Raw genomic sequence first — 18,633 nt, 5'->3', positions numbered from 1 at the left:
CAGGAAGCAGAGCTTGCAGTGAGCCGAGATCGCGCCACTGTACTCCAGCTTGGGCAACAGGGCGAGACTCTGTCTCAAAAAAAAAAAAAAAAAAAAAAAAAAAAGACTGATGAAAGCTGCAGTTATTTGCTTGCTTCTTATAATTCATTTTACTAAGTTGTAAATCTCCTGAAACAATTCATCTGTCTTTCATAGAGCAAGTCCCCAACAAATGCATGTCTGGTTGAGTAGCAAGCACTGTGGCTGAAATTTGAAATCCAGGCTTAAATGTGCCTCATTCATACTGGCATAACTACTATTAAAGTTAAGAAGAATATAAATGGAGAAATCAACTTAAACAAAGGTCAGACAAGAAGAGTGAGTAGTTGCTGGTAAGTGGGGGGAAAAGGAGAAAAACTACTGCAAAAGTGGACTAAAATATTTTATTAATTTTAAAAATGTGAATTCATTTCAGCAGCAAACTGGAGGCTGCTGACCAGGCAAAGAATAACAGATCATTGTATGTATTTGATTTAGGCAGTACACTAAATTTCCAATGAAATATCTAGATATGACTGCTTTTTATCACGGTTAGAATATTGATGCTATACACATGTGCAATGTCCATTCCATGTCTAATTTGATCAGATAAAGCAGGGACTTAGCCACCATCTTTGGGGGGAAGAAGACAGAACATCATATATTAAGAATAAATTAAAGTAGGTTAATTTGTTTTTTTTAAAAAAATAGAAAATTAAGAAACACATTGACAGAGCTATGAAATCAAACTGGCCTGCCAGAGCAGTACATATTCAAGTTCAGAATACCCTTCCAAAGAAAGACAAGCAAGGAAATATGGTAATGTGTAAAGAATACTAAGATTTAGCAATATCGTCTCTGTTTTTAACTAGCTATGTGACCCCCTCTGTGTTCTTCGGTTTCCTTCTGTGAAAAATGAAAGTGGAGGATGAATTAATCTTGTAGGTCTTCTTGTTCTATCATTCTATGTAGAGAGAAGGCTTTTACATGATGGAATGATCAATGGTATTTATTGTAACATCCAAACTAATTAGAGATGATTCAACAGCACCAAATATATGTGGGCTCATTAATAATCATAACACTGAAAACCATGCAATCTTTTTTTTTCATCTTTTTAAAAAGTGTTCAGTTCTCTTCTTGGGTACTCATAGGAGAATAATTTATATTAAGCTGTTGGCGTCACAGTTAATAAACCTAATGAAGTATAGCCGAGCTCCAGATTTCAGTTTTGATGTGGTTAATTGATTTTATGAAATCTTTAAGCGTATGAATGACAAATGTTTAGAAGTCACTCCTTGATCCCATTTTGTATGTTTGCAGTGACTTCAATTTGAAAACTCTCAATGGTGATTTTGCCTATTTATTTTTAACACAGATGTCTAATAACTTTCCCATCTTTTAGCCTAAATACAGCATCACTGTTTGCCCCAGGCAACAGGCAAAAATGATTGATAGCATTTCAAAATTCCAGAAGAAGCACAGAGGGTGCTTCACAGTTTCTGTCATAATTAATTGAGAGTCCAACAAGAACATATGTTTGTGTGGCATTACAATGGGAAAGTGTTAAAGGAAATGGAGTTATTTCCACTTGTAGCCAATGGTGGGCAAATGAAAGCAGAATCGGCCCTACAACACTGAGCAAAAGAAAATTAAAAAGTGAATCTATTTCAAATTCAGTCTGTTTGGCAACCTGTAATTCATAATTAACTGGTGTTTCAGGGCAGATTAATTACATAGTACTAACCATGCAATTATAAGTAAATTTATTTATTTCTTATTCTTCAGCATTTTAGGCAAGGGGAGCTCACCATACATGTTAATTAGTTTTAGATCCACTCAATGTAATTTCCATATAAAAGGTAGAGACGTGTAATTACCAAGTATTCAGTATTTAACAAGTATATGTTTCTCAGACTAAAGAAACGAGGTACAGTGCAAAAAGCAGGGTTTTAAAGTCAAACTTGTATTTGAATATTTGAATCCCATTTTCTCCACATTATTATGGACTTTCTCATCAGTAAGAATAGAGTTGCTGTATTGATTAAATATGCGATCACTTAATTTATCTCTAGCTATATAGCACAGGTATAGTCACTGAAATCATTTTTCAGCCTGCTCAGATACCTCACAAGTCTTCGTGGCTTGACTATTCTGTTCCTTCTGCCTGATACAATATTTATGTATTTCTACAGCTGTTTAGTTCCATCTTGTTTTTCATGATCTAGATAAAGATTCAGCCAAGTATGGCCAGTGGGTCAAATTTACCATCACCATCCACCACAAAGATTCCTAAATAAAGTTTGATTGGAACACAGCCATACCTATTCATTTAAGTATTGTTCATGGCTATTTTCATACTACAACAGCAGAGTTGAATAGTTGTGACCAAAAACTGCATGGCCCACAAAGCTTAAAATATTTTTACTTCAGGTATTTTTCCTAATACCTAATGTAAATGATGAGTTAATGGGTGCAGCAAACCAACATGGCACATGTATACATAGGTAACAAAACCGCACATTGTGCACATGTACCCTAGAACTTAAAGTATTTTTTAAATATATATATGTATATATATATTTGCTATGTAGCAGATAGTAAAAGTTTGCCAACCCTTGATTCAGAAAATGCTCCATATTCTCTATGCTTCATTTCCTGACCAACAACATGTTTGTTTTGATATATTTGTGCTGTACATTAACTGTATTTTCACACGAGCACCGAGAAGTGGAGACTGCATTTCAGTGTTCTTTTGTCTCCAGTCTGCTTAACATAATATCTGACACTCAAATACTTTTGGTTTGAACCTAAAAATAAATTAGTAAATTTATATAGTCAGCCCTCTGAATTCATGAGTTCTACATTTGTGGATTCAACCAACCTTAGATTGAAAGTGTAGTTAGGCCTAGGACAGGATGTTGCAACTGTACTAAACATATACAGATTTGTTTTTGGTCATTCTGCCTAAACACTACAGTACAGCAACTACTTACATAGCATTTACATTGCATTCAGCATTAAAAGTAATCTAGAAATCATTTAAAGTATATGGGAGAATATGCATAGGTTTTATGCAAATACAATATTACATAAGGGACTTGAGCACCCACAGATTTGGGTATCTGTAGGGTTTGGGAGTTCCTAGAACCAATCCCCCAAACATGAATACTGAGGGATGACTATATATAGATTGGATGTAAGTCTAGATAGAACACAAATTAATATTTTTAAAGTGTTTACATGGAAAAATATACATGTACATAGACACAATATACTGAAAAAGAAGTTCTGAAAGCTAAATGTACATGCTTATTTCTCAGAACAAGAATTCAGACCTCTGATTAAAGGACAAAGGACTCAACAAGCTTTAATATTGATTTCTGCAGTGGGTTTCAGCTCTTTTGTGACCTGTTCTAGATTTGTTACACAGTTGTGTCTGTGTGTGTGTATGCATGTGTATGGCTTGAACAGAACAGGAGATTATTTATTTCATTGATATAAAATCTGACATAGAGCAAATTTCTTCCAGACTAAAATCATTCCCATTCTGTACTTTCTGGTCTCTTAGCTTTAATCTCCCCTGCATATAAAAGTGCCATAATTCCAAATATGACTGAATATTACCTGCGTTATCATTCTTAATTTATACAATATGTATTTAAATTATTCCTAATCTAGAGGATATTTTTGAACAGAAAATATCTAAACAGGTTATAAAGTTCAGATCATTTAATTTTCTCTCATGTAAAACAGGATCTATTTACCCCATTATAGAAAAGAGTATTTTGTCTGTTGTTAATTACAAATGCTAAATTATTATGTTGCATGAAAGATAGACAAAAATATTACCTGTCTCAATTACTGCCTGTATTAGTCCATTTCACACTGCTGATAAAGACATACCTGAGACTGGGAAGAAAAAGAGGTTTAATTGGACTTACAGTTCCACATGGCTGGGGAGGCCTCAGAATCATGGCAGGAGGAGAAAGGCACTTCTTACATGGCTGCAGCAAGAGCAGATGAAGAAGTAGCAAAAGTGGAAACCCCTGATATATCCATCAGATCTTGTGAGACTTATTCACTATCGCAAGAATAGTACCGGAAAGACCGGCCCCTGTGATTCAATTATCTCCCCCTGGGTCATTCCCACAACACATGGGAATTCTGGGAGATACAATTAAAGTTGAGATTTTGGTGGGGACACAGCCAAACCCTATCACTGCCTGTATTGTTATTAGTGTGTTTCTTTTTGGTAATCAGCATGATCTGTATAAGAGATATTTCCAAACTGATTTCAAAGACAGCTTTTGGTTTTGTCCGCTTTACTTGCTTTGATTGGACAATGACAAGGTCAGAAACCTTTTGTAAACACTGAGACTGTCTAGATTAATTACAATCCTTAATAAAGTGAAATGGTATGTAAGTAGTCGCTATACCACAGTGTTAGCTTTAATTTTACTTAATCTGTCAGGGTATTGTGACCTCACTCTTCATGCCTTAAAAATAGTGGCCACCACTTTGTTTAATCTTTTAAGGATTTACAAACTTTGTTCAAGTTTCTACCCTTTTATATGTGTGGGTAAATTAGGCCACTGTAACTGTCATTATTTTTTGTTTGTTTTTACTCCTTAATGTCTTCTGTAAGTGATTTACATCCATTAAAGGTTAACATCATGATTACTCAGGCTTTGGTTTACCTGCTCTGGTGTATGTTTTCCCAGTATAAAATGTTGCTCTCCCAACATTCCTGGGGCATCACTCTAATGCCAGGATGTATTAATGCCTTAATAAACATATTCCTCCAAAGTGAATCATGGCTGTCCAAAATTAATTGCCATAAAAATGGAGATTATAATCAAGATTATCTATTACATGTGCACTGAGGCACAACAGTTAAAATGGAGACTGTGTGTAGTTATTGAGGTCATGAACAGCCACTACCCTTATGTTCATTGCTTAATTATTAGCAACTATTTATAACGTATGCCATTTCTTACGTGCTACCTGGCCCTATGCTGAAGAACTATGAACTGATATCTATAAAATATAAGTGTATAATTGTGTAACTGATCACTCTTAAGAAAGAGGGGAGGTTGCCATAGCACTGACAATAGTATTTTGTATGCATGCATGTGTGTTTATTTATTTATGGACTTACTTTTCTTGACTGCTGAGCATTCATTCTCATTTTCTTCTAGTAAGAACACTTTCCAGTTCTGTTTGAAGAATTACTCCTCCATCACTGTGCTTTGCGTTTCCTGGGTCCATCAATCAAAGTATCCAGCTTTCTGCTAACTGAAGAGAAAGCATATGGCTCAAGCTAGTTAAATTATGCTCTCTGTATTACTCTTGAGTTTAGAAACCTGAATGTCAAATTTAATGAGAAATATCATTGCTTTTGTTTTAAATACCCCAGAGCTGACTTATCTCCTAAAGAGATAAACATTTAGCTTATGCACCTGGTTTGACCTGGTCTACCCAAAGATAGCACTTTAGTATTTTATTTAAACCTTGTGAGCCACATCATATCCTTCCAATTAATTTTCTTTCTTTCTTTTTTTTTTTCTTTTTTGAGACAGAGTCTCACTCTGTCACCCAGGCTGCAGTGAAGCGGCATGATCTCGGCTCACTGTAACCTCTGCCTCCTGGGTTCAAGCAATTCTCCTGTCTCGGCCTCCTGAGTAGCTGGGACTACAGGTGCATGCCACCACACCTGGCTAATTTTTGTATTTTTAGTAGAGATGAGGTTTCACTATATTTGTCAGGTTACCTGCCTCAGACTCCCAAAGTGCTGAGATTACAGGCATGAGCCACCATGCCCAGCCAAATTTTCTTTGACCTACTAATACAAAGTTTCTTTCTCTTGAAAACAATGCACTTAATTGCATTGTGATTGCAAGCTAGTTTTGCAAGCTGGAGAACCAGGAAAGCCAATGTCTGAAGGTCCGAGAAGGGGGATTGAAAGGTGGGGCATGAGAGCAAGGGATGGGCCATGGTGTAAGTCTCAGCCTGGTAGAGCACTGATATCCAAGGTCAGGAGAAGATGGATGTCCCAGCTTAAACACGGAGAAAAAAAAATTGCCTTTCCTCCACCTTTTCATTCTATTGGGCTTTCCATTTTTAGTCTTTGCCGTTTCATGATGCTATAACAAAATACCATAAACTGGGTGGCTTCTAAACAACAGAAATTTGTGTCACAGTTATGGAGGCTGGGAAGTTCAAGCAAATTTGGTATCTGGTGATAGTCCACTTCCTGGTAGGCCATCTTTTCACTGTAACCTCACAGTGTGGAAAGGGCAAGGGGTCTTTTTCTTGGTCTGTTTTTTTTCTTGGGCTCCATTCTCACTCACATCATCTCTGACCTCGTGAAGTATTCACCTACCAAAGGCTCCACATAATACCATAACTTTGGAAGGTAGGCTTTCAACATATGAATTTTCGGAGGACATAGACATTCAGATCATCGCAGTCTGATTGTAAGAACTTTCTATTATAAACCTATTTGGTGCATTTAAACATATCTTATACATTTAAACCTTTAATAGGATACAACGTCTTCCAGGAAATTGAAAATAATAATAAACCAAGAAGGTGAATAGAAAAGCATTCCTTATTAATCCCTGAGCTATAGCCCTGTAGTAGAAGCTGGCTTTTAAATGTTCTGTAATGCTTGGTGTGTACAGAAGAATGCCACAGATTCCAATTGTGTCTTCATTTGCAAGTAGCCTAGGCTTTAATTTTAAAAGAGGTTGAATACTACTTACTACTTGTCCTAGTTTCCTATTGCTACAATAATAAACTGTCACAACATAGTGATGTAAAACAACACAAAATATCCTCTTATGGTTGTGGAGGTCAGAGGTCTACAGTTATTTTCATTGGGCCAAAGTCATGGAGTTGACAGGGATTCCTTTTGAGGCTTTGCAGAGAAAACTCATTTTTCTTGCTTATTTCTTTTCTTTCTTTCTTTTTTTTTTTTTTTTTTTTTTTTTTTTTGAGATAGAGTCTTGCTCTGTCACACAGGCTGGAGTGCAGTTGTGCTCACTGCAACCTCCGCCTCCTGGGTTCAAGCGATTCTCCTGCCTCAGCCTCCTGAGCACCTGGGACTACAGGCACACACCACCACGCCAGGCTCATTTTTGTTATTTTAGTAGAGACGGGGTTTCACCATGTTGATCAGGATGGTCTTGATCTCCTGACCTCATGATCCACCCGCCTCCGCCTCCCAAAGTGCTGGGATTACAGGCGTGAACCACCGTGAACCACCGCGCTCGGCCTTCTTGCCTATTTCTAATGGTCACCTGTATCCTTTGGTTCCTGACGTCTTCCTCCATCTTCAAATTGCATCATTCCAATTATGGCTTCCATCATAACATTGCCTTCTCCTCTGACTTCTCCTGCATTTTTCTGTGAGGATCATTGTGATTACATTGGGCCCACCTCTAAAATCTGGGAGCATCTCTTCATCTCAATATCCTTAATTTAATCAAATCTGCTAAGTCCCTTGTACCACACAGGGTAACATTCCCAAATTCCAGAGATTATTATGTGGATATATTTGGGGGCCCATTATTCAGCTTACCATACCGTTTTAAATTATCTATACTTGATCCTAAATGTTATGTTGGACTCATAACACTTATCAGAGCTAATATGTATTTACAAAATAAAAAAGCAATGTCCTAATTGCTATGGTCCTGTTTTCCCAAAAGCTCATAATTTACTGGACAAGTCAGGTACACAGCCAAATGTATTAGGCTGACGCAAAAGTAATTGTGTTTCTTGCCATTAAAAAAATGGCAAAAAAAAACTGCAATTACTTTTGCACCAGCCTAATAAATCTTAGCAGATTTTTCTTTTATTTTATTTGCTATAGAAGCAGAAGTATATGTTTTGATACTAGGAATATTTTCACAGTATTTCAATTGACCAAACAAACCAGTATTCAAAGTCATAATTTTATAGCAGGGCTGCATTCAACTTTTAGTGTGTATGGCATTCAAGAGGTCATGACTAAGATACTTTTCAGTGTTTTCTGAATTTACAAAACATCTTCTGTGATTTTATTACCTGAAGCAATAAAAATTTTATACCTCTGAAAGGCAGCTTCTAAATCAGTAGTTTCTAAACATTGATTTTTCATCTCATGCTCCATAATGAAGACTTCACTCGTCGGAGAAGAATGGGGAAAAATATGAAAATGTAAGGAGTTTTTTATAAAACTAAATGTATTCAGTTTTAAGACTGTCCTTCATGTCCTTTTCACAATTTTTACTTTTCAAAAAATTTTAGAGATCATAAGTAAATCTTTTTAACCTGAAAAATAATAACTTAATGAATGTATGTCAGTAGCAAATTAATACACACACATACAAACATACATGCATACATTCTGGCTTATAAAATTTGAAAATCTAGAAATCATATCTGTAGCATGTTAATTAAATTACACTAATAAGTTAGTATTAACACCTATAATTGTATACTGCTAAAAAATTTACAAAATACCTTCATATCCATTAGCTCAAGGGCCCTCCCCACAAAATAAATCCATGAGGAAAAAAGTAAGTGATTATTATCTTCATTTTGTAGAATGAGAAATAAAAGCACAAAATTTTAGATGACTTACCAGAATTATTTCAGTTGATATGCTGTATCTGTCATCTTAAACTTGCCTTATATCTTCAACCAGTTTTCAGAACATTTCATTTATCACCTTGCACGAACTAAAATGTTGGTTTTCCCTAATTCCTCTGCAGTCAGCTCAAGTTCCATATCCACCGCTTGAGCTGTGCACATTTCCTTTGGACCAACTGTCCCAGTGTGGGGAGGCTAAAGAGAGATATGCTAATGCATCTTCCTTGTTCATACTGTTGGTTTTAACCCAGTTTTGTCTTTTTTTTTCATCTTCCTAAACTATAACTTCCATCTCTGAATCTCATGTTTTTAATGGGGGGAAAAAAAAGGTCATCTATTTTGAGTGCTTCAGAAAGGTCAAAAAAATAAGGAAATTAATGTGATCAGTGGTTTGGCCACATACAGGTAAGTGAAAAGTATGCATTGTAGAGTGCTGGGTATGAAACATATTTAGAATGGGATAACTGATAATAAAGACAAAGGGCACATAACTCTTTCAAGATTGTTACTAGAAATAGGTATAGGCAAAAAGAATGTTAGAGAATGATAAGGTATGAGGTCAACATAATTGATTTTTTAATTACGTGAAACAGAAATTATGCCACAGAAATACATGACTCCTTTATATATAATAACCCAATATGCTACTCCTTGAAAAATCTGGTTAGAGGTTAGTAGTGCTTAATCACTTTAACATATATCAATTACAGAAAATGCTACAACTTCATTAAATTATTCTTTGGTGATATATTGTGGAAACAGCATTCAGAGAAGGCTCTCTAAATGTTATGGAGGCTGGTGAAAGCCCTTCTACTCCATTATTGGAGGGGATGTAATTATGGAAAATATCAGGAAGGCTTCGCAAAAAAATAAATGGAGATGGAATAGTTGGATTTGAAAATTAGGGAAAAATAAACCTTCAGCCTTATCTCATTTTATACATAAAAATTAGTTTGTGATGAATGATAGACCTCAATGTAAAACAAAAGTGTAAAGCATTTGAAAGAAAATATAGAAGAATATCATTAATTCTTGATTGAGACAAAACTTGCTTAGATAAGTCAGAAAAAAGCAGTAATCATGAAAGCAAAAAATGACAAACTGGGTTTCAACAAAATTGAAAAATTTTGTCATGACATGTATTTAACAAAATGAACAGGAAAACCACACACTGGAAAAAATACATATTTCTACATTTAAAAGCCCCTTAAAAGTCAACAATAAAAAGGACAAAACATTTTTGAAAAGGGAAAGAGGGCAATGGTTTTGACTGGTTGGACTGTCTACAACAGAAAACATATTTTTTCATTAGAGAAGTAATAATTTAGTCCTCAATTAGGTCGTATTTCATACTCATATGGATGGCTAAAATTTAAAAAACAGTACCAGTTTTAAATATTGACAGGATGTATAGCAACTGATACTTTCATATATTGGCAATGGATGTTTACATTGTTGTAATCATTTTGTGAACTGTGACCCAAATTCCACTCCTTGGTATTTATCTAAGAGGATTGAAAATAGATATCCACAGACATATACAAAAATATTCATCATAACTTTATTCATAATAACTATGCCTTGAAATAACCCAAATGCCCACCAACTAATAATCAATAAACAAATTTTTATGTGTTTATACTACTTAATATAAAGAATCAAAATAGCAAAAACTGTATATGAATGTATATATAAATACACAAATTACATAAAATTTGAGAAACATTTAATTATATAGAGTGAAAGTAACCTGTGATAAAGGAGTAAATACTGTATTGTTTCATTTGTATGAAGTTCCAAAACAAGAAAAACTCATCTATGGTTATTGACATCAAAGATTAGTTGCCTTTTGGGTAGAGGAGAAGGGAGCAAAAAAGGGGACATGGGAGAACTTTCTGGGGTGCTGAGATTCTTGTGGATGTTGGTTTCTATGTGGATTACAGCTGTATAAGCAATTGCCTCAGCTCATTAAACTTATCACTTAATATCTCTACATCTTGTTGCATATAAATTATAAATTAATTAAGAAAACAAAAAGGATCAGTAAAAATGTATTAGTCCAATACTATACAATGTCTCCATTTAAAAAAATTCTTGAAATTCTCTATGAATTAGTATGCTCAATAGCAGAACAAAATTATATGGTTTTTGTCTTAAGAATAAGTTAAAATAGGAAGATTTTTACAACAGATTTTAAAACTCAACTTCCTTCAAGGGTGACCATCTTTGACGTTTTCTTTTCAGATGCCTGAAAATATTTTTGCAAAAGAGAAGAGGATCTCTTATGCTACGTAAGATTGTATATATTCTTTATGTTTTGGTGTATTTCAACTTTGTTTTGGTGATGCGATATTTATTTTAATCTAGGAAAAATGGCAGTAATAATCATGCTAAACTAAACTTGAAACAAAACAAATATAAATAATATATACTTTGTCCAACACCAGAGTATTCTAACATCTGTACGTGATGTTATTTCTAGGAAGAGGTATATTCCTTCATGTTTTCCCCTCTGTATGACTTTAGAAAGGATTAATATTTTGAGATGTCCTCACAATAAATGAATGTTTTGAAATATACTGAAAAAAATGTGAGTGTATTGAAAATATGCTTCTTTGCTTAACAGCCAAGGCGTAAGACATACTCATATCTTATTATGAGTATTCAACTTGGGCATTGAATGAGTTTAGGTTGCATAACACTTTTAACAAGACAATAATGAAAACATAAAAACAATAGAAAATAAAAAGTTTTCTAGAAAACATATCTACAAAATGAGAACATGCTCTCAAATAATTTCAACGTGTAGCTTGTAGTTATTATTCAGTGATCTCCATTCCAGCTCAGTATATTAAACCTTCACAGTTAAAAGCCCCACCCTAAAACTTAATGTCTTCTACCAAAAACTTGTACCAAAATCATAAAAGCAGATTTCTGCAGTTCCCTGTGAAAAATATGTAAAATGTATTCGAAAAAGATGCCAGACACGAAGACTACATATTGTATGGTGTCACTTATGACGAATGTCTAAAAAATTGTAAATCCATAGGGACAGAAAGTAGGCTAAGCAGTTGTCTGGGGCTGACAGGCAGAGGGCATAGGGAATAATTGCCAATAAATATGAGTGATCTTACTGGGATGATGGAACTATTCTAAAACTAGATTATGCTGATGATTGCACAACTTAGTAAATTTACTAAAAATCATTGAATCGTACACATAAACTTGGTAAATTTAAATGTGTTTGAGGCCCCGTGCGCGGTGGCTCACACCCGTAATCCCAGCACTTTGGGAGGCCGAGGCGGGCAGATCACGTGGTCAGGAAATCGAGACCATCCTGGCCAACATGGTGAAACCCAGTCTCTATTAAAATACAAAAAAATTAGCTGAGTGTGATGGCGGGCGCCTGTATCCCAGCTACTGGGGAAGCTGACGCAGGAGAATGGTGTGAACCCGGGAGGCGGAGCTTGCAGTGAGCGGAGATCACGCTACTGCACTCCTGCCTGGGCAGCAGAGCAAGACTCCGTATCAATCAATCAATCAATCAATCAATAAAGTGTTTGAGTAGTTAAACTAACAAGTTTTTTTTTTTTCTAAATTAGTGTCTAGTTTCTTATACATCCACGTTACAATGTGGAAAAAAAGCACAGTATTAAGAAGGACCTATTTTATTTCTAGTGGTTGAGTGATTGACACAGTTTGATTGTTAAGTTTAAATGGATACTTATAACAAGTTAAATATGAAATGCCAATTTTTCTTGCTAAAAGCAAGAGAGTGGAAATTTTTTTATACTTCAATGATTAGGATGTTCTCTACAATATATATGGAGAGGCATTCGTCAATAATGCTTTCATATAGTTTTTTTTCTTTCACAAGTTAGAGGTACTGTGTTTCTCCACTTGGAGGAAGTAAGTCAATGTGAAGTGTCTGCTTTTCTCTCTCTAGCAATACATACTTAGGATTTCAATTAAATTAATAAGATAAAATTAAAATATTTACTTTGGGAAATAGGGGTTTCTCAACCTTAGCAGTATTTACGGGTATTTTGACACTAATAATTCCTTGTTTTGGAGGCTGTCCTGTGGTGTATGGGATGTTCAGCAAAATCCTTAGCCTCTACCATTAGACAATAATAATTAGAAGGATATATCCAGACAGACAATGTTAATGAAAAAAAATAAAGAGCTAGTGTATATATCGTTTGTAAGTGTGAGGAATTTGTAACATTTTTAGGATAGGATTTATGTTCAGGAGATAGGGAAGGGAATTAGATACATAAGGAGTTAAAGGAGGCTTCAGCTTTATCAGTAAGATTCTGACAGATAACATGAAAAGAGACCTAAAATGTAGAATAAAAAAGAAAACAAATATCTGCAATCTGAGTGATGGAAACATTTGTTTTGGTGAAATTATTCTCAATAATTTTATACATGTAGAATAAACTACATATATAGTACAGAGAGAGAAAAAGAGAAAGATAGAGATTAATAAACTAAACTTCATGGTCACAGGGCCCTGGGAGATTTGGAGAATGTTTCTATTTCCCCTCTTTGTTTACAGAATCAGAAAGAAGAACAGTCACGAAATGAAAGTGCATTCCTAGAAACTGTAGGTGTCCTATATATTACAATGCTGCTATTTTGCTTCTTTTATCAACATGATTTAGATTCTAAATAATAGTAATCATTTACAACAAAATTACAATAGAGAAAAGTTACAAATGCATGCTTAAACACAAGCATTTTAAAAATTATACACTATCTCTAATTATTCCTAGTGTTTACACAGAATTATATGATAGCCAAGGTTTAAGCAAATGATTACAAATAAGTAATTTAGTTATTACTTATTAATTTTAAATAATTATTATAATATGATATTAAATGTAACAATTATTATTTATGATTATTACCTACCTAATAAATAATTTTCAATTTCTTAAAAAATACAGAAAACTTCTTTTAGCAGATATTATGATAATCCATTCTGGTCATTATTACTTAGCTTGGTGTTATAGAAATTGAGAAAAATGAGTGTAAAATCATGTCCCCTCAAACAAAAACAACTCCATATGGTAAAATACTGATAAAAGTAGTTCTATTGAGAGTTATTCCTGCTCTCAGAAATTAGCACAATAAAGAGTTCATATTAAAATTGAGATAATAGAATCCCAGATTTTCCTCCTTTTAATTTTACAGTTGAAAGACCCCTGAAAAGTTGTTTAGCTCTTATTTTATAGATGTGGAAAATGAGATTCAGAAAGTTCAGACGATTTCCTTCCCCAAGGACACCTGGTGATTTAGTAGCAGAACTGGATCTGGAACGCATATCTTCATCTTTCTATGCTTTTTCTACACTCCCGAAGTGAATTCCTGTCATAGTATCTTTTTATTTTCTAACAGAGAGTATTTTATAACACAGCACAATGGTAACTACATACCTAATGTGCATTTCAGAACACATTAGGAATATTAATGTTATTATTAGGAGAAAAGTCTTTTACTGCAGCTTAAACTTTCATTTTTCCCCCATTATCTATTGCACAACTCCAGTTCTTAAGGGGGAAAAAAAATCAGACTCAGTCAGCAACTTGTAACCTCTGCAAACTCTATGACTGTCTCTATGACAGCCTGAAGGTCAAAAGACTGGATCATCTCTAAATTAGTCAATTCTCTGAAACTCAAGGATGTCAGTCATTGGAAAGGATCAGCTGACCTATCTCCCCACAAGCACTCTGACAGATTTAATGTTCACAACATCTATTGTCAACAAAGAAAATAGAGGGGGAAGACACTCAATTTGTATACTTCCCTCCTAAGGCATTCAAGGCACAGACTAGGATAAATACGTTGTTTATTTTCTAAACTGATGGCATTTCCCTGTTTGCTTTTATCTGCTGTTTCATTTAGCTCAAAAGATCTAACTTTCTTCTTTATCTCTTCCTTTGAGCTAGCTGGATGAGATTTGCTAAGGACGGGAAAGCTAGCACTGCCATAATAGAATGTCATAAATTGTTTCAGCATACAGTGACTTGAGTAAACAATTTGTTTAAATTCTCCCACCAAGAGCCATGCATATATTCCCATTGTTACCAAAAGAGATTTTTACTTGTTTTTATTTGCATCTTGCCTGAATAGATCAGCGGGGAAAGGCATGGAATTTGGAGCAACACTCTCTTGGGTTTATATATCCTAAATTGAGATCATTTACCTCTCTGGACCTAAGTCTGTCATTTACATAAGAAGTGTAATACCAATTATATCGGTTAGGATTATATTTAGCTGCTGGTGACAGAAACCCCAAAAGTAACAGAGGCTTAAGCAAGATTGACGTTTATACTTTTTCTAAAACAAAACTGAACAAGTGGAAGAGGACTGATATGGTGGTTAATGCATCAAGGGATCAGAGTCCTTTTATCTTCTTGTTCTATCATTTGTGGCCTTTACTTCATAGTTAAGGAAAGCAGAATTTTGATGTAGAGGCAAGAAAGAAGAAAGGAAGGAAAAAAGAGGGAGTGGTAAAGGGTACACAGATGATATGTGATATGTCACAAAGAACATGTCTCATTGGCCAGCACTAGTTACATGGCTGTACCTAGCTGCACAGGAGGCTGGAAAATATGGTGTCCATTCTGGATGGACTTAGACCCACTCAAAAAGTCAAGATCTGCCTTATTTTCAGCTGTCTTTCCCTCTCTGTGGGACCTTCAGGCACCTGCTTGGGTCTCTTCCAAGGAAATTTTCCTTTCCTTCCTGTTCTAAAGCCCTTTTAAATAAACTTCCACTCCTGCTCTTAAAAAAAAAAATCAGGATCCTATTACCACAGCAAAAAAGAAGAATATTTTGGGACACAACTAGCATCTCTGCCACACCTAATTTAGGAGACATTGCTAGTTTTTCACAAGTTTCTGGGCTGCAATCCCAGGTTCCCTTGCATTTAGATATTATCATTTGACTATGCTCTCCCCATTGGGATATGAGTTAAAGTGATCTGAGCCATTTCCATGCCAAAATCTTTAAAATTTTGAGTATTCTCTCTCTATGTTCTCTTTGCAGTATGTGTCTTTCCTTTGAGCTAGCTAAAAACCTGGACTTTCACGCAGCTACTTTTCAATGTAAATGGGTACAATAACTTAGGAAATAGAGTAGGGAACATGGAAGGCATCCAGTATCTGCATGGCTGTGGGGAAGGAAAATACCTGCTGATCTGATATACTTACCCAGTCCTAGTACATTTGAGAGAGATACACTTCTATATTTTGTTCATACATCCTAGTAGTTAAGCCTCACTTTGAGTGATATATTTAGCACACAGGAATTTTTCTGGAGAATAAATGATGTAATATCTACAAAGTGCTGACAGTGCCTGCTTATGGTAAGTAAACAACAAAAATAAATTTAAAATAAAGATATATATAAAAAACAATAATATACATACCAGCTATACATTTATTAAAATATTTTATGTAAATTTTTATAACTGTGTATATAGCTTTATAAATATAACCAGCTGTCTCTTTGGAGTAACATCAGGATCCTCTAAAGTGAATTTTACATCAATTATTCTATGTAAAATATAAATAGTAACATATCAAATATACCTTCAAATTTACTGAAAACCCATGTACTTCTGTTGCCCTGATGAAATAGCCCAAAATTGTACTTATTTTAGACAAAAAAAAGGTGTATGGACCAGAGCTACCTTAGTCTTCCATGTATCAATTTCACCTATTTGAGGCCTCCAATGAAGTATAATACATAAAATAAGGCCAACACCACAATGAAAGAGGATCATTGTTAGTATGTGGACTTTGCCTTCCTTTACAACTAATAAGCTTCCACCTTCTAACCTCAGAATCATTTCCAGTCTACTGCAAAAATTTATGCAAACAATATTCATCACATGCCGGAAGAAAAGAAGTGATGTAGTCCTGATAACAAGGTATATGTAACTGAAGACATCATCCACAATCTTACTCTCTGCTCCAATGTTTGGGATTATAATAAAGAACATACATTGGCCCTTGGTGTAGCATATAACCCTGAACTTCAATTTTCTTTCCCTCAGCTCAGGAAAACTGTCACTGCTTTTCTCTTGTCCTCTAATTCAGTACCACAGATCAGCAACTACTCTGAGGAAGAAAGCAATTAAAGGTAGGTTTCATCTCAAGCATTCCCATTCTTTCAGATATTCTGGCCCCTCAAGTCTTGATTTCCTTGGTTTCTTTCTAATCATAACAAACATGCTCTTTGTATTTTATAAATATTTTTGATGAATGGATTAGCACAATATATTATTTCATAACAAAAAGAAATAAAAATGAGCTTTTGATGGTATAGAAACCGATCTCCAGGATGAATTCTAAGGATCCTCATCTCCTTGTATTCTCACCCCTGTGTAGTCGTCTCCCATAATATATGAGGGTTGGTGTGTTAGAACAATAGAACACAACAGCAGTGATATTAGATCACTTCCCAGGATGTGTTATAATTTCATTGTAGCTTCTGTCTCACTCTCGACTCTCTTGTTCTAGAGGAATTCAGTGCCAAGCCATGAGTACACGCAGCCCTGTGAAAAGATCAAGTAGTGAGAAACTGAGTCCTTCTACCAATAGTCAGTGAGAAATTGAGGTATCCTGTCAACAGTCACATGAGTGAGTCATTTTGAAATGGATTTTCCATCGCCAGTCAAGCCTATGGATGACTGAAGTCTGAGCTTATAGCATGACTGCAAACTCTTGAGACTCAAAGCCATAATCATTCAGTTAAGCTGCTTCTGCATTCTTGACCGTCAACCACTGTGTGGGATAATAAAGGTATGTATGTATGTGTGTGTGTGTTTAATTTGTAATTGTAGTAAAATATGCATAACATAAAATTTATCATATTAACCATTTTTAAGTGCATGGTTCAGCAGTGTTAATTATATTCACATTGTTGTCTAACCAATCTCCAGAACCTTTTCATATTGCAAAATTGAAACTTCATACCCATTAAACAACAGCACTCAGCTCTCCCTTCTCTGGAAACCACCCTTATACTTTCTGCTTCTGTGAGTTTTACTAATCTAGATAGGTCATGTAAGTGGAATCAGAAACTACTTGCCTTTTTGCGACTGATTCGTTTGACTTAGCATAATGTCCTCAAGGTTCTCCATGTTGTACTATGTGTCAGAATTCACTTCCATGTGAACGCTGAATAATACATTATTGACTGTGTATACCACATTTTCCTTACCCCTTCCTTTGCCAATGAACATTTGGGTTGCTTCCACCTTTGGGTTATTGTGAACAGTATTGCCATGAACATAAGTATACAGATATTTTTTGAGACCCTGCCTTCAATCTTTGAGATATAAACCCAGAAAAGAAATTGTCGGATCATATGGTAATTATTTTTTTTTAATTTTTTAAGGAACTGCCGTACTGTTTTCCATAGAAGCTACACCATTTTAAATTTCCACCAACAGTGAACAAGGATTCAGTTAATGTACTTCCTCATCAACACCTGTTAATTTTTGTTTTCTTGATAAGATCCATCCTGCTGGGTATAAGGTGATATCTCATTATGGTTTTGATTTGCTTTTCTCTGATGATTTGTGACGTTAAGCATCTTTTCAAATGTCTGTTGGCTATTTATATATCCTCTTTAGAGAAATGTCTTTTCAAGTTTTTTTGTCCATTTGTTATTCAGGTTTTGTTGTTGTTGCTGCTGTTGTGTTGTAAGAGTTTTTTTAAATGTATTCTTGTTATTACTTCCTTATCAGATCTATAATTTGAAAATATTTTCTCTTATTCCACAGGTGTCTTTCACTCTGTTAATTGTATCCATTGATGTGCAAAGTTTTCAGTTTTGCTCTGTATAGTCCAATTTATATGTTTTTACTTTTGTTGCCCGTAAAATTAGTGTTGTCTTAAGACACTAAATTTTGGGTAAAATGATTACACAGAAATAGCAAACAGAGGAGGCTATTAT

General features: G+C 34.8%; 1 long non-coding RNA gene across 1 annotated transcript; it reads left to right on the top strand.

Moving 5' to 3' along the window:
* Window positions 1-211: 211 nt before the first annotated feature.
* LOC105376632 (uncharacterized) lies at window positions 212-17,485 on the top strand. Its single transcript, XR_931200.3, has 4 exons — window positions 212-371; window positions 10,903-10,949; window positions 16,727-16,812; window positions 17,193-17,485. It is a non-coding gene; the product is annotated as an uncharacterized LOC105376632 (long non-coding RNA).
* The last annotated feature ends 1,148 nt before the right edge of the window (window positions 17,486-18,633 follow it).

This window comes from Homo sapiens, chromosome 11 (assembly GCF_000001405.40).
Source record: "Homo sapiens chromosome 11, GRCh38.p14 Primary Assembly".
NCBI classification, from domain to species: Eukaryota; Metazoa; Chordata; class Mammalia; order Primates; family Hominidae; genus Homo; species Homo sapiens.
The sequence above is the reverse complement of the archived record's forward strand: the minus strand, read 5'-3'. Positions and strand labels throughout refer to the sequence as shown.